Source organism: Homo sapiens, chromosome 3, assembly GCF_000001405.40.
Source record: "Homo sapiens chromosome 3, GRCh38.p14 Primary Assembly".
Classification (NCBI taxonomy): domain Eukaryota; kingdom Metazoa; phylum Chordata; class Mammalia; order Primates; family Hominidae; genus Homo; species Homo sapiens.
In genome coordinates, this window is record NC_000003.12 from 150,512,484 (window position 1) to 150,526,072 (window position 13,589).

General features: G+C 40.2%; 3 annotated features.

Moving 5' to 3' along the window:
• Positions 2,482-2,638: a silencer, noted in NCBI's record as "fragment chr3:150232752-150232908 (GRCh37/hg19 assembly coordinates)". NCBI's record gives its function as "represses an EF-1alpha promoter that drives an FKBP-Casp9 reporter gene in an ReSE screen in K562 erythroleukemia cells {active_cell/tissue: K562}" and the evidence as "EXISTENCE:reporter gene assay evidence [ECO:0000049][PMID:32094911]".
• Positions 7,614-8,114: an enhancer, noted in NCBI's record as "H3K4me1 hESC enhancer chr3:150237884-150238384 (GRCh37/hg19 assembly coordinates)". NCBI's record gives its function as "activates a minimal SCP1, AML or CMV promoter by ChIP-STARR-seq in primed H9 embryonic stem cells {active_cell/tissue: H9 hESC(primed)}" and the evidence as "EXISTENCE:reporter gene assay evidence [ECO:0000049][PMID:30033119]".
• Positions 8,115-8,615: an enhancer, noted in NCBI's record as "H3K4me1 hESC enhancer chr3:150238385-150238885 (GRCh37/hg19 assembly coordinates)". NCBI's record gives its function as "activates a minimal SCP1, AML or CMV promoter by ChIP-STARR-seq in primed H9 embryonic stem cells {active_cell/tissue: H9 hESC(primed)}" and the evidence as "EXISTENCE:reporter gene assay evidence [ECO:0000049][PMID:30033119]".

Here is a 13,589-nt window from a genome sequence, read left to right on the forward strand (position 1 = left end):
TAAATAAATAAATAAAAAATAAAAACAGTCCTATTAGACAGTAGATATTAATTATTTTTTATTTTTTTATTTCTTCTTCTTCATTTTTTTGTTTTGTTGTTGAGACAGGGTCTCATTCTGTCACCCAGGCTGAGGTATGCAGTGCTGCAATCATGGCTCACTGTAGCCTTGCCCTCCCAGGCCCAAGTGATTCTCCCACTTCAGCCTCTCAAGTAGCTGGGACTAGAGATACAAGCCACCACGCCTGGCTAATTTTTTCTATTTTTCGTAGAGGTGGGGTTTTGCCACATTGCCCAGGCTGGTCTCAAACTCCTGGGCTCAAGTGATCCACCTGCCTCAGCCTACCAAAGTGCTAGGATTACAGACTCAAGCCACTGCACCAGGCCAGAAATAATAATGTTTTTATTTTTGTTGAGAGAAAAAAGCCCAGAAAGAGTGGTTGACTTGCCTGAGGCCACACAAAAATAAAACCTAGGTAGTCTGCCTCAACATCTGCTTTCATAAATGCCAAACTAAATAACATTCTTTCAACAAGGAGAGATGAATTCAATAAGAAAATGCTCCTTGTCAATTCAGGACACCACTGCTGTCCTACAGATAGGAAGACACTCTGCCTCTCTCTGACCCTGTGAATATAGCTAAAGTCTCGAAATATATGCAAGAATATCCCATAAGAGATAATGAGCAGCGGCTGTGTATTCAATCTGAGAAAGGGACAAACAGGGATAAGCTTACATTTCATCTGAGAAATTTGGGGTGAATGCAAAAGCTCAGAATGAAGTTTTTCTGGAATGTTGTTGGTATCATCCTACACAAAGTCAAAAGGATGAATAGAAAGAAATAATCAAGATCTCCTTTAACTCTATGATTCTTTTGTTAACTAAGATTAGTTGCATTCTCAGGAACTCAAACTGAGATTGGCAGGAGCCCCTGGGGTTACCAATTCACCTGATAACAGGAAAGAAGAGATGAAATTGTGGTTGTGGAAAGCTACCACAGTGTGCACGTGGAATACACAGGAGTGGAGCCAGGACCGAGACAAGACTGAAGTCGAGGCAAGTATCATTACCTCATTTTGATTTTAGGTTTTAGATATTTTTATGGTTTCCAAATTTCCTATAATGAAAAAATATCACCACTTTATTCAGGAAAAATGTACAACTTCTCTTTTCAAATCTGTAGCAATTATCTCTTAACCAATTTTAGTGCAAAGATGAACAGTCTCTCTTAAAGGTAATGAAAACTCACAGACTGTTGTATATTTTTTCCATATTAAAGAAAAATAAAACTAAATCCCCAATTTGCACCATGTATTAAAATAAATTTCAGATACATTAAAGAATAAATGTTTAGGCTGGGCACAGTGGCTCATACCTATAATCCCGGCACTTTGGGAGTCTGAGCTGGGCAGATCACTTGAGGTCAGGAGTTTGAGACCAGCCGGGCCAACATGGTGAAGCCCTGTCTCTACAAAAAATACAAAAATTAGCCTGGCGTAGTGGCACGTGCCTGTAAGTCCAGCTACTTGCGAAGCTGAGGCACGAGAATTGCTTGAGCCCAGGAGGTGGAGGTTGCAGTGAGCCGAGATGAGCCACTGCACTCCAGTCTGGGCAACAGAGCGAGACTCTTTCTCAAAAAACGGAGAAGAATACTGAGATAAAGATAGAATATTTGTATATTTCTAGATGAGAAAGGCCTTTCTTAACATGACACCAATGCCAAAAATCATACGGAGTTGGCAATGTACTGGCAGTTCTACATCCATCAAATAAAACCACCGAAATAAACAAAGGTTCTGGAAAAATATTAATAAAAATGTGTAAACGTTACAGATAATAGAACAATGACCTTAAAACCCAATAAAAAATCAAATATCTTATTTTTTAAAGGCAAAGAACATGAACAAAAAAACTACAGAATACAAAGGACCAAGAAAGCTATGAAAATTTGTTTCAATATCATTAATAGTTTTAAAAAATTGAAAACAAAAATGTGTTATTTTTCACATCTTATGTTGGCAAAGATTAAAACCCTTCATTTTCCCCACTCTACTAACCACTCCCACCAAAGCGCCCATGGAAGTGCTGACTCTGCTACTCCTGCATTTGTGAAAGTATGGGAACCACTGCCCGTAGCCATAGTGCTGGCTGGGCATGCAGTTGTCCCCTAATTTTTATGGCAAAGGTGAGGAGATGGTACCCTTAGTGAGTGGTTTAATAAAGCAGCATCCTGCAGAAACAACTGGGGATCTCATAAGATGCTGGTAGGAGTGTTCATTAGTACAAGCACTTTAGAAAACTGACAGATGCAGAGGCTCACGCCTGTAATCCCAAGCACTTTGGGAGGCTGAGGCGGGCAGATCACCTTAGCTCAGGAGTTTGAGACCAGCTTGGGCAACATGGTGAAACCACACCTCTACAAAACAATACAAAAATTAGCCGGGCATGGTGGCTCACGCCTGTAATCCCAGCACTTTGGGAGGCCGAGGTGGGTGGATCACAAGGTCAGGAGTTTGAGACCAGCCTGGCCAACATGGTGAAACCCCGTCTCTACATAAAAATACAAAAATTAGCCGGGCGCGGTGGTGGGCGCCTGTAATCCCAGCTACTTGGGAGGCTGAGGCAGGAGAATGGCGTGAACCCAGGAGGTGGAGCTTGCAGTGAGCAGAGATCGCGCCACTGCACTCCAGCCTGGGAGACAGCAAGACTCCGTCTCAAAAAAAAAAAAAAAAAAAAAAATTAGCTGGGTGTGGTGGCACGTGCCTGTAGTTATAGCTACTTGGGAGGCTGAGGTGGGAGGTCGGCTCAAGCTCCAGAGGCAGAGATTGAAGTGAGCCATGATCGAGCCACTGCTCTACAGCCTGGGTGACAGAGCCAGATCCCTGTCTCGAAATAAACAAACAAACAAACAAAAACCTGTTTGACAATGTCCACCAAAGCTAAACTTATTCATACCCTATGACTCAGCATTTCCAGTCCTGGTTATAGCCACAACAGAAATGAGTACTTAATATGTACCCAAAAAGTAATGTACAAGAATATTTACAACTTCAACAGCTCTTCATGGTAAAATCACTCAACAGACTAGGAATAGAAGTGGACTTTCTTCAGCAAGCTAAAACTGATTATAAACAAAAACAACAACAACAAACACGAATTTCATCAACCTGATAAAGGACATCTACAAAATACCCACAGCTAATATCATTCTTAATGGTGAATGACAAATGCTATTTTCCTAAGATCAGGAACAAGACAAAGATGTCCACTTTCAACACTTCTATTCAACACTACACAGAAAGTTCTAGCCTCCAAGCAGTGAGGCAAGAAGTAAAAGGAAGTAAAAGGCATACAGATTGGAAAGAAGTAAACCTCTCTCTATTTGTAGACAGTACGATCCTGTAGGTAGAACATGCTACAGATTCCACTAAAAAACTACTGGAACTAATTAAAAAGTTCAGTAAAGTAGCAGGACACAAAATCAATATACAAAATCAATTGTATTTCTACAGAGTAGCACTGAGCCAACAGAAAATGAAATTGAGAAAACAATTCCATTTACAAATACATCAAAAAGAATAAAATACTCGGGAGTAAATTTAACAAAAATGTACACTCAACACAAACATTGTTGAAAGAAATTAAAGAAGACCTAGTTAGATGGAAAGTATCCTATTTTCTTGGATTGGAAGATTTAATATTTAATTTAAAATAGCAATGTTTCCACAAACTGATCTATGGATTCAATGCAATCACTGTCAAAATACAAGATGGCTTTTTTGTAGAAATCGAAAAATTCATATGGAATTACAAGGGACCCAGAATAGCCAAAATGATCTTGATAAAAAGTAAAGTTGGGCCAGCACTTTGGGAGGCTGAGGCAGACAGATCACTTGAGTTCAGAAGTTCGAGACCAGCATGGCTAACATGGTGAAACCCCATCTCTCCTAAAAATACAAAAATTAGCCGGGTGTGGTGGCATGCGCTGTAATCCCAGCTACTCAGGAGGCTGAGGCAGGAGAATCACTGAACCCAGGAGGTGGAGGTTGCAGTGAGCCAAGATTGTGCCACTGCACTCTAGCCTGGGTGACAGCGAGGCTCTGTCTCAAAAAAAAAAAAAAAAAAAAGGAATAAAGTTGGACAACTCAAACTTCCTGATTTCAAAACTTTCAACAAAGCAACAAAGCTACAGTAATCAAGATAGTGATACTGGCATAAAGCTAGACCTACAGATGAATTGAAGTGAGAGTCCAGAAACAAACTCTCACAATGATGTTCAACTGATTTTGACAGGGGGCCAAGACAATTCAATGGGAAAAGAATAGTCTTCAACAAATGATGATGAGACAACTGGATAGTCACATGAAGAATGAAATTTGACCTCTACCTTACAATACATACAAAAATTAACTCAAAAATGGAACAAAGACCTAAATGTAAGAGCTAAAACTATAAAACTCTTAGAAAAAAAACATAGGCATAAATCTTATGACTTTGGGTTTGTTACATACGATGCCAAAAGTACAAACAACAAAAGAAAAATTAGAGAAGGTAAACATTATCAAAATTTTTAAATTTGGGGCATCAAAGGACACTATCAAAAAAGTGAAAAGATTAGTTAGCCAGGTATGGTGGTACACACCTGTAGTTCCAGCTACTTGGGAGGCTAAGGCAGGAGGATCACTTGAGCCCAGGAGTTTGGGGTTGCAATGAGCTATGATTGCGCCACTGCACTACAGCCTGGGCAACAGAGCAAGACCCTGTCTCTAAATGAATTAATTAATTTAATCAAAGTTAAAAAATAAAGTGAAGAGAAAATTCACAGAATGAGATAAAAATTTGACAAATTGTATATTTGATAAGGGACTTATATCTAGAATATATAAGAAACTATTACAATTCAATAATAAAAAGGCAAACTACCCATTTTTTTAAAAACAGGCAAATGATCTAAAGAGACATTCTCCAAAGAAGATATGCAAATAACCAATGAGCAAACAAAAAGATGCTCAACAGCATTAGCCATCAGGAAAATGTACACCAAAACCACAGTAAGATACCACTCACACCTTCTAGGATGGCTAAAATAAAAAAGACAGATAACAAGCTTTGGTGAAGATGTGGGTAAATTGGAATCCTCATACACTCCTGGTGGGTGTTGGGAACAAGCCCCTCAAAATCTGGCTGTAAACTGGCCCCAAAACTGGCCATAAACAAAATCTCTGCAGCACTATGACATGTTCATGATGGCCATAACGCCCATGCTGGAAGGTTGTGGGTTTACCGGAATGAGGGCAAGGAACACCTGGCCTGCCCAGGGCAGAAAACCACTTAAAGGCATTCTTAAGCCACAAACAATAGCATGAGCAATCTGTGCCTTAAGGACATGCTCCTGCTGCAGTTAACTAGCCCAACCTATTCCTTTAATTCAGCCCATCCCTTCGTTTCCCATAAGGGATACTTTTAGTTAATTTAATATCTATAGAAACAATGCTAATGACTGGCTTTGGCAGGTGGGAATGTAAAACGGTGCAGATGCTTTGGAAAATGGTTTGACAACTCCTGAACCAGTTAAATATAGTTACCACATGATCTAGCAGTTTCACTCTTACATATATACCCAAGAGAAATGAAAACATATTTCCACTGTCCACACAAAAACTTGTATACAAATGTCCATTGCGGCATTATTCACAATTGCCAAAAGGTGGAAACAACCCAAATGCCCATCAGCTGATGAATGGATAAATAAAATGTGGTATACTCAATATTTTTCAGCAATAAAAGGAAATGAGGTACTAATGTAGTCTACAACATGAATGAACCTTGAAAACATGCCAAGAAGCCAGTCACAAGGACAAAATATTGTGATTCCATTTATATGAAATTTTCAGAATAGACAGATCTATAGAGAGAAAGTGGATTAATGGTTTCCTGGGGCTGGGGAAATGGGGTGATCAGGTTGGAGGTGAAAAAGAACAAACTCTTGCTACAGGCAACAGTGTAGATGAATTTAACAGACATAGTGTTGAGTGAAAGAAGCCAGACACAAAATAGTACATACTGTATGATTCCATTTATACAAAGTTCAGGAACAGGTAAAACCATTCAACGGCAAGAGAGTCAGCAGCTGTTACCTTTTGGGGTATTGGCTGGGAGTAGGAATAAGGCAGCCTTTTGTGGTTTTGGGAATGCTCTATTATCTTAATCTGGAAGGTGGGTACAAGAGTGAGTGTGAGTATGTATGTTTGTGAATACATCTATGTTAAAGAATTCATTTAGTTGTACACTGAATATTTGTTCACTTTACTATGTAAGTTCAAGCACAATAACAAAAATTGTATAGATAAAATAAAAAGTACTATCCCACCAATCTAGTTAGCTTGGGAGCTTCCCTATAACTGAAGCAAACTGGATCAAAATGCTTCTCTCCTCTTCTCCAGGGCCACATAGTCTGCATATTTTTAACTTTTCCTCTTCATGGCTGCCTTCGATTGTCACTAACTGATTTCAGAGAAACCTTGAGGCAGAGAAACCTTGTGGCTTCAGGGAATGCCAGAACTTGGACCTTTAGGTCTCAGAACCCCTCTAAAAAGGTTTTCCTTTATGGCTGAGGCCTCTTTCTCTTTCCAATTGAAGGCTTATCAGGAAGGAGGGTTCCCAGGAAGCAAGCTGGGCAGGCCTACGTACTTGAAGTCTCAGAGAGTCATATAATTAAAACTCCTTTGTATTGCCTGGGTTTTCCTCTCATTATGCAGTAACCACACCCTTTTTATAACATTTATGATGTTACCTGCACATATACTCACTGGGAAACAATGTGAAGTTAAGCCTAGATCTGTGACTAACACCATAAAAGCAAAACAATCGCTCTACCTCATAGGAGTGCTGCTAAAAAGACACAAAGACATATTTTAAAATATTTACGTTAAGAGCAATACCATAACCAGGTAACATAGATGAAAACTTCATAAACTGAAAGAGGTCACACAAATGACCAAGACATAGTTTTAACTATATCATGGAAATCTCCAAAAATTATGTTCATCTATAAAGTAAGTGAAAGCACCGGAACAGCTTCCTCCAAATGAGCCTTGTAAATGGATCTACTAATAACACACTCCACTCTTAAATCTGAAAATAAACCAAGCCAATATTAAGTGAAAAGTAACCTCTGGTAAAACTGACACGCCACTTTAGGTAGCTGCAGCCATGCAAAAGTTTGATATCAAAGTATCTGAAAAGCATAGCATTCACCAGTTGTCGAAGCACCGTTCCGGGACTTGCAGCATCAGCTTCACTTGAGAACCTGTTAGAGATGCACATTCTCGGGCCCCAACTCAGGCCCACTGAATCAGAAACTCTGGGAATGGGGTCCCCAGCACTCCAGGTGTTTTTGTTGTTGTTGTTTTTGGGGTTTTTTTGAGACGGAGTCTCGCTCTGTTGCCCAGGCTGGAGTGCAGTGGCGCGATCTCGGCTCACTGCAAGCTCCGCCTCCCGGGTTGACGCCGTTCTCCTACCTCAGCCTCCCGAGTAGCCGGGACTACAGGCGCCCGCCCCCACGCCCGGCTAATTTTTTGTATTTTTAGTAGAGACAGGGTTTCACCGTGTTAGCCAAGGATGGTCTTTATCTCCTGACCTCGTGATCCGCCCGCCTCGGCATCCCAAAGTGCACTCCAGGTTTTAATTACCTCTCGGGTGATTGTGGTGCACGCTCAAGTTTGAGAACCTCAGCTGTACCCAATTACTTTAGGTGGGCAAGGGCTTTCTAGAAGATCAAACACTTCAAACACCTGGCTTCAGCTCACAAGCACGGGACAAAAGCTCTCGGTCCTCTTCCTTGTTCTCCGCGGGGTTTGTAGTATGAATCTCAGGTCACAAACTCGGACTATCACCTTAATTCAGACCCTCCCTCCCGGAGTGATCTAGGTCGTGTGTCGTCTCTCCTTCTCCGCTGTTGCAGCACAGATGGAAATGGAATGGGTCTCGCTTGCAGTCTGTCACGACCTCCACTGACTTCTTCAGGGTGGTCGCTCGCGGTGGTCCTAAGGCGCTCTCATCCTCCACACCTCGCTGGGGGACCGGCGATCTCCTCCAAAGGGTCGCCCCAAACCCCGGCCGCGCCACCCCCAGCTCCAGGGGACCAGCAGCTGGCAGCTCCGCTCTCCCACCCTCAACAATGCCGGGTTTCCTCGCTTCTCCGGCTTTTACAAGAGGTCGGGAGAACGTTTGAATTGTGGTTGCTTCTTCTTTGAATCTTGCAACATTCCTGAAAGCCCTACGGAACCGAAATTTGGAGAGAACACAAATAACAAGTCTAAAAATTATCTTGCCACAGGATAGTAGGTGCTTCCTACCATTACCTAAGTAATTTGACACCATATATTATTTAATACACTTCAGGGTTATACATAAAGGTAAAATGTGAAAGCTTGCAACTAATAATTACAGCAATAAGCAAACACATGTTTTTCCTCTTTAGTTTCGCTTTTTAAAATTATCAAATTATTTTTATGGACACAGTAATCAAAATAGAAACAATTTAGCCTAGGAAATTTAGCAAGACTCCATCTCTACAAAAAGTTAAACAATTACTTAGGTGTGGTGGCTGGTACCTGTAGTCCCAGCTACTCCGAAGGCTGAAGTGGGAAAATTGCTTGAGCTGGGGAGGTAGAGGCTACAGTGAGCTGATCACACCACTGCATTACAGCCTGGGCAACAGAGACCTTGTCTCAAAACAAGCAAACAAACAAATATATTTTACATTTTTAAAAAACACCCACATAACCCTATCACAAAAAAATCCACCAAGCTAATATTTTCATATTCTTTTCCCATTTTAGTATGTATATATCAGTACACATATTTTATGTCCTGCCCTTCTCACTTATTATTGATTTCCATGTTACCAAGTCACCTTGTTTCCATATAAGCTTTATGAAATTAATTTACAGGAACTACATGACACTGATTATAATATGCACATATCCTTCAACCTATTATCCACTCCTCAGATTCTACTTAAGTATTCTTTTTTAAGTATACTACAGTCTTTTCTCCCCTGTAAGTTTTTCATTTCTTCCCACATTTAGAGGAAACAATGCTTTCCACATCTTACTGCACCCCCTGGCTCTCTTCTGCTCAGTAACAGCAACTGTCTCAGTCAAGCGCCTCTCTGTGGAACACTGCTGTTCCTTCACAGACAAAGCCATAAAATCAGTGAAAAGCAGAGCCAGCTGCTCGCCCACTGCTAGAGGAAGAGGTCATCTCTCTTGCCTTTTATCCCATCTCAAAACATGTTATCCCTCTAATGCCTTTAGAGTTCCCTGGACTGGGCATACAGAGGTGTCCTCAAAGTGTTTTCAGAACTCTGATAATATAGGAGCAAAATCTGCTGAATCTTCCTTCCTAGAAACAAAAGTGATAAGGCCCAACCTTGAAATCTAGATGAAAATCCTGAATGTAACTTCATCTTTCAAGTTTCTGCAGTGGTTTCCAAAATGCATTTCACAGGGAGCTGTTTGGCATAGGTCAATGAAGAATGGATTTTCTGTTCCCAGAACCTTAAAATATTTATACTCTGTGCATATTCCAGAAATCAACAATAGCCCCCTACTGCCCATCACCAATTCTTCCATAAATAGATAAAGCACCTAATAGGTAACTCCCTGACAGTGGCTAGAATCAAGTGTTCATTTAATGGCCCCTTAGAGTTTCTCAGAAGTTTCTGGAGAAAATGGGAAGAATGATGTTAAAGTGCAGTCAGGTGTCACTTAACAGGAACATCTGAGAAATACGTCACAATTTCACCATTATGTAAACATCTTATGCTGTACTAAACCTAGATAACATAGCTTACTACACACTTAGGCTACATGGTATAGCCTATTGCTTCTAGGCTATAAACCCATACAGCATGTTGCTGTACTGAATGTGGCAGGCAATTGTAACACAATGGTAAGTATTTGTTTATCTAAATATATATAAACATAGAAAAGTTAAAGCATTGCATTATGACATTACGATGGCTTATGACAGCTATGATGTCACTAGGAAATAGGAATTTTTCAATTTCATTATAATTTTATAGGAGCACCGTCATATATGTGGTCAAATGTTGACCAAAACATTACTATACAGTACCTGACTATAGTTCCTTTGCTTTATCCCTGACTCCTACTCCAAAGTTTGGCTCTATCAACTGAGCAAAAGATAGAGGAAAAAATACTGTTTTCTTTCACTATGAAGGTAAAAAATATAACAAAGTCTTCTCGGAAAAATTCCTATAAAATCCAAGGTTAGAACATTTGGAAATAGCAAAAAAGATTATTGGGTATCTCAAATGGAAAACTAAGCACTATTTAGAACCCACCTTTCAGGTTATCTGATTGTACCTTTCCATTGCTTTTGAATTATTTTACAACTCTGTAAATTGTCAATAAGTGATAACAATGCAAAGTTAGTGTTGTTTACAAAGACATTTTGTTAGAGATCCAATTTTCTGCCCCCTGTTGAAAAAGTCAGTTTCTCCATCCATTTGTAAATTCATTTCAGTATTGCTTTGCTCCACATAAATTTGTGCTTCTTTGACTTCTCCTTTGAACTCATTGTTTAACATCTTACTATTTCTTCATTTATAATGACTTAAATAAAATCTTTAACACATGTTCATTTTATATCTGTATAGAGTCATAATTTTACCCCTCTGTGAAAATCATCCTTAGCCAGGCACAGTGACTCGTGCCTATAATTCCAGCACTTTGGGAGGCCAAGGCGGGAGGATCACTTGAGCCCAGGAGTTTGAGACCAGCCTGGACAACATAGTGAATTCTCTGTGTTAATTTCACTTTTTAAAAAAAAAATTTTTCCCCTCGTACAAACTCTCAGTCTCCCTGTGACTGAACATCACCAATGATGTTCTGAAAGACTCAGGTGAAAAGTGAAGGATTGAGGTAGAATTTGTTGTCTGAGAACAGATCTAACAGCCAGAACAAATAAGTCCTGCATAGGAAGCCAAGTTGGGAGCCAGCGAGGAAGGATAAGGGGGCAGGGACTCAAAGTAGGTGGTCCACTTTCCCTTTGGGGGTAATTTCATCCTTTGGGGGTAATTTCATCTCTACAAAAAATAAAAATAGAAATAAAAATAAAAAATTAGCCAGATGTGATGGCACATGCCTGTAGTCCCAGCTACTCAAGAGGCTGAAGGGGGAGAATTGCTTGGAGGTCAGGGCTGCAGTGAGCCGTGATTGTGCCACTGCATTCCTGCCTGAGTGACAGAGCAGTGCCACTGTGACAGAGTGTGCCACTGCATTCCTGCCTGTCTCAAAAAAAAAAAAAAGTGAAAATCATCCTTTAACAAGGTCAAGCCTTCCAATTTCAATAAGAGGACTGGGAAAATCTACCCCTACGTTCAAAGAATTGCTAAATAAAATACAACAATAATTCTCTTGAGTAGCTAAACTCACAAGTTATAAAGGAGAATCTCCAAGTGCCAGAGTGAAGAAGGAATGGAAAACTGAGCACAGCAGATAATCCTGTGGCTGTCCTAGAAGCTACAAAGGGACTAGAGATAAACTCTTGAATCCACAAAGGTTAGGGAGGTGAAGGTGAATAAATTGAGATCTTTGAGTTAAAAAGTGGACCAGCATGAAATGTATCTACTACCAAGTCAGAAAGATGCTTAGGAAGCTTATCTTCCTCTTTTCTGGACTTTGGAGTCCAGAAAATAAAACGTATTTATTTATTTGAATTTTAAAACTTTGGGCCTAATTACCTCAACTCAGATCTGGTGTAAAATTATTGTTATTATTATTATTATTTGAGACAGAGTCTTGCTCTGTTGCCCAGGCTGGAGTGCAGTGGCACAATCTCAGCTCACTGCAACCTCTTCCTCCCGGGTTCAAGTGATTCTCCTGACTCAGCCCCCCGAGTAGCTGGGATTACAGGTGCCGGCCACCACACCCGGCTAATTTTTGTATTTTTAGTAGAGACGGGGTTTCTCCATTTTGGCCCAGCTGGTCTCAAACTCCTGACCTCAGGTGATCCACCCACCTAAGCCTTCCAAAGTGTTGGGATTACAGGCGTGAGCCACCGCACCCAGTCCGGTGTAAAAATTTTAGAATCCAAGAACTTTAACCCCCAAACCTCGGCTGAAAAATTAACATAAAATAATGTGAGATTAGCAATATCCTTGGGTCCCATGGCTCTTTGCAAAGCCAATGCCCGTTTATGAAAGAATATTTCTACAACTCAAGCCACTGACAATTTTCAAGGAAAACACAGCCCCCACTAAAGATGGGCTACTGTAGAAAATTGTTAAAGCAATGAATTATTCCACCATAAGTGAGAGTCAGTAAACACAAGTACCAAAACTTGAGACAATAAAAAAAAACTGGAAGAAAATAAAATAATTATGTTTAAAATTATTAAAAACATGTTTTTAAAAAAATCACAACCTCTGGTATGAAGAAAGCCAAATTAAAAAAAATAATTAAAAAAGAAAAAGAAAACCCAAAGAAAATAAGACCTTATTTAAAAAACAAGGAAGATTGCAGAAAAAATCTTAAAAGGAATCAAATAGAAATTTTAGAAGTTAGCCGGGCATGATGGTTCACACCTGTAATACCAGCACTTTGGGAGGCCAAGGTGGGTGGATCACTTGAGGTCAGGAGTTTGAGACCAGCCTGGCCAACATGGAAAAACTCCGTCTCTACTAAAAATACAAAAATTAGCCAGGCGTGGTGGCGGGCACCTGTAATCCCAGCTATTCGGGAAGCTGATGGAGGAGAATTGCTTGAACCTGAGAGGAGGAGGTTGCAGTAAGCCGAGACTGTGCCACTGCACTCCAGCCTGGGCAACAAAGCAAGATCCTGTCTCAAAAAAAAAAAAAAAAGAAAGAAATTTTAGAAGTGAAAAGGAATTATCGGAACTTCAAAGCCACAAAAGACGAGCAAAACAACCCATTAGACCAAACTAAAGAGATCATTATCAAGCTAGGAGGCAGATGAGAAAATGACCCAAAATATTGCTGAGAGATAAAAAGAAGGGATTGCAATGAAGAGATTAGGAAACATAAAGACAACACGAGAAGTTTAAACATATTTTAATAGGAATTCTGGAGGGAAAGAAGAGAATTCTGGAAGGAAAGAGAGAGAAATTTGAAGAGATGAGCTAGGCACACAGTGGCTTGCATCTGTGGATCACTTGAGGCCAGGACTTCAAGACCAGCCTGGACAACATAATGAGACTCCCAATTCGACAAAAAAAAAATTTAAAAATTAACCGGGAGTGGTGGCACAAGCCTGTAGTCCTAGCTATTTGAGAGGCTAAGGTGGGAGGATGGCCTGAGCCTGGGAGGTCAAGGCTACAGTTAGCCCTGATGGTGCCAATACACTCCAGCCAGAGCAACAGAGAAAGACTTTGTCTCTGAAAAATAAAATAAAACAAAGAAATAAAAACGAAGAAATTTGAAGAGATAAAGGGCAGAAAAGTTTCTAGCCTTGGTGAAAGACATAAACCCCAGATTCAAAGATCACTATGTTCACAAAGTTAGAAAAGTAAAATAGACCTACTGTCCCACGTAACTTAGTG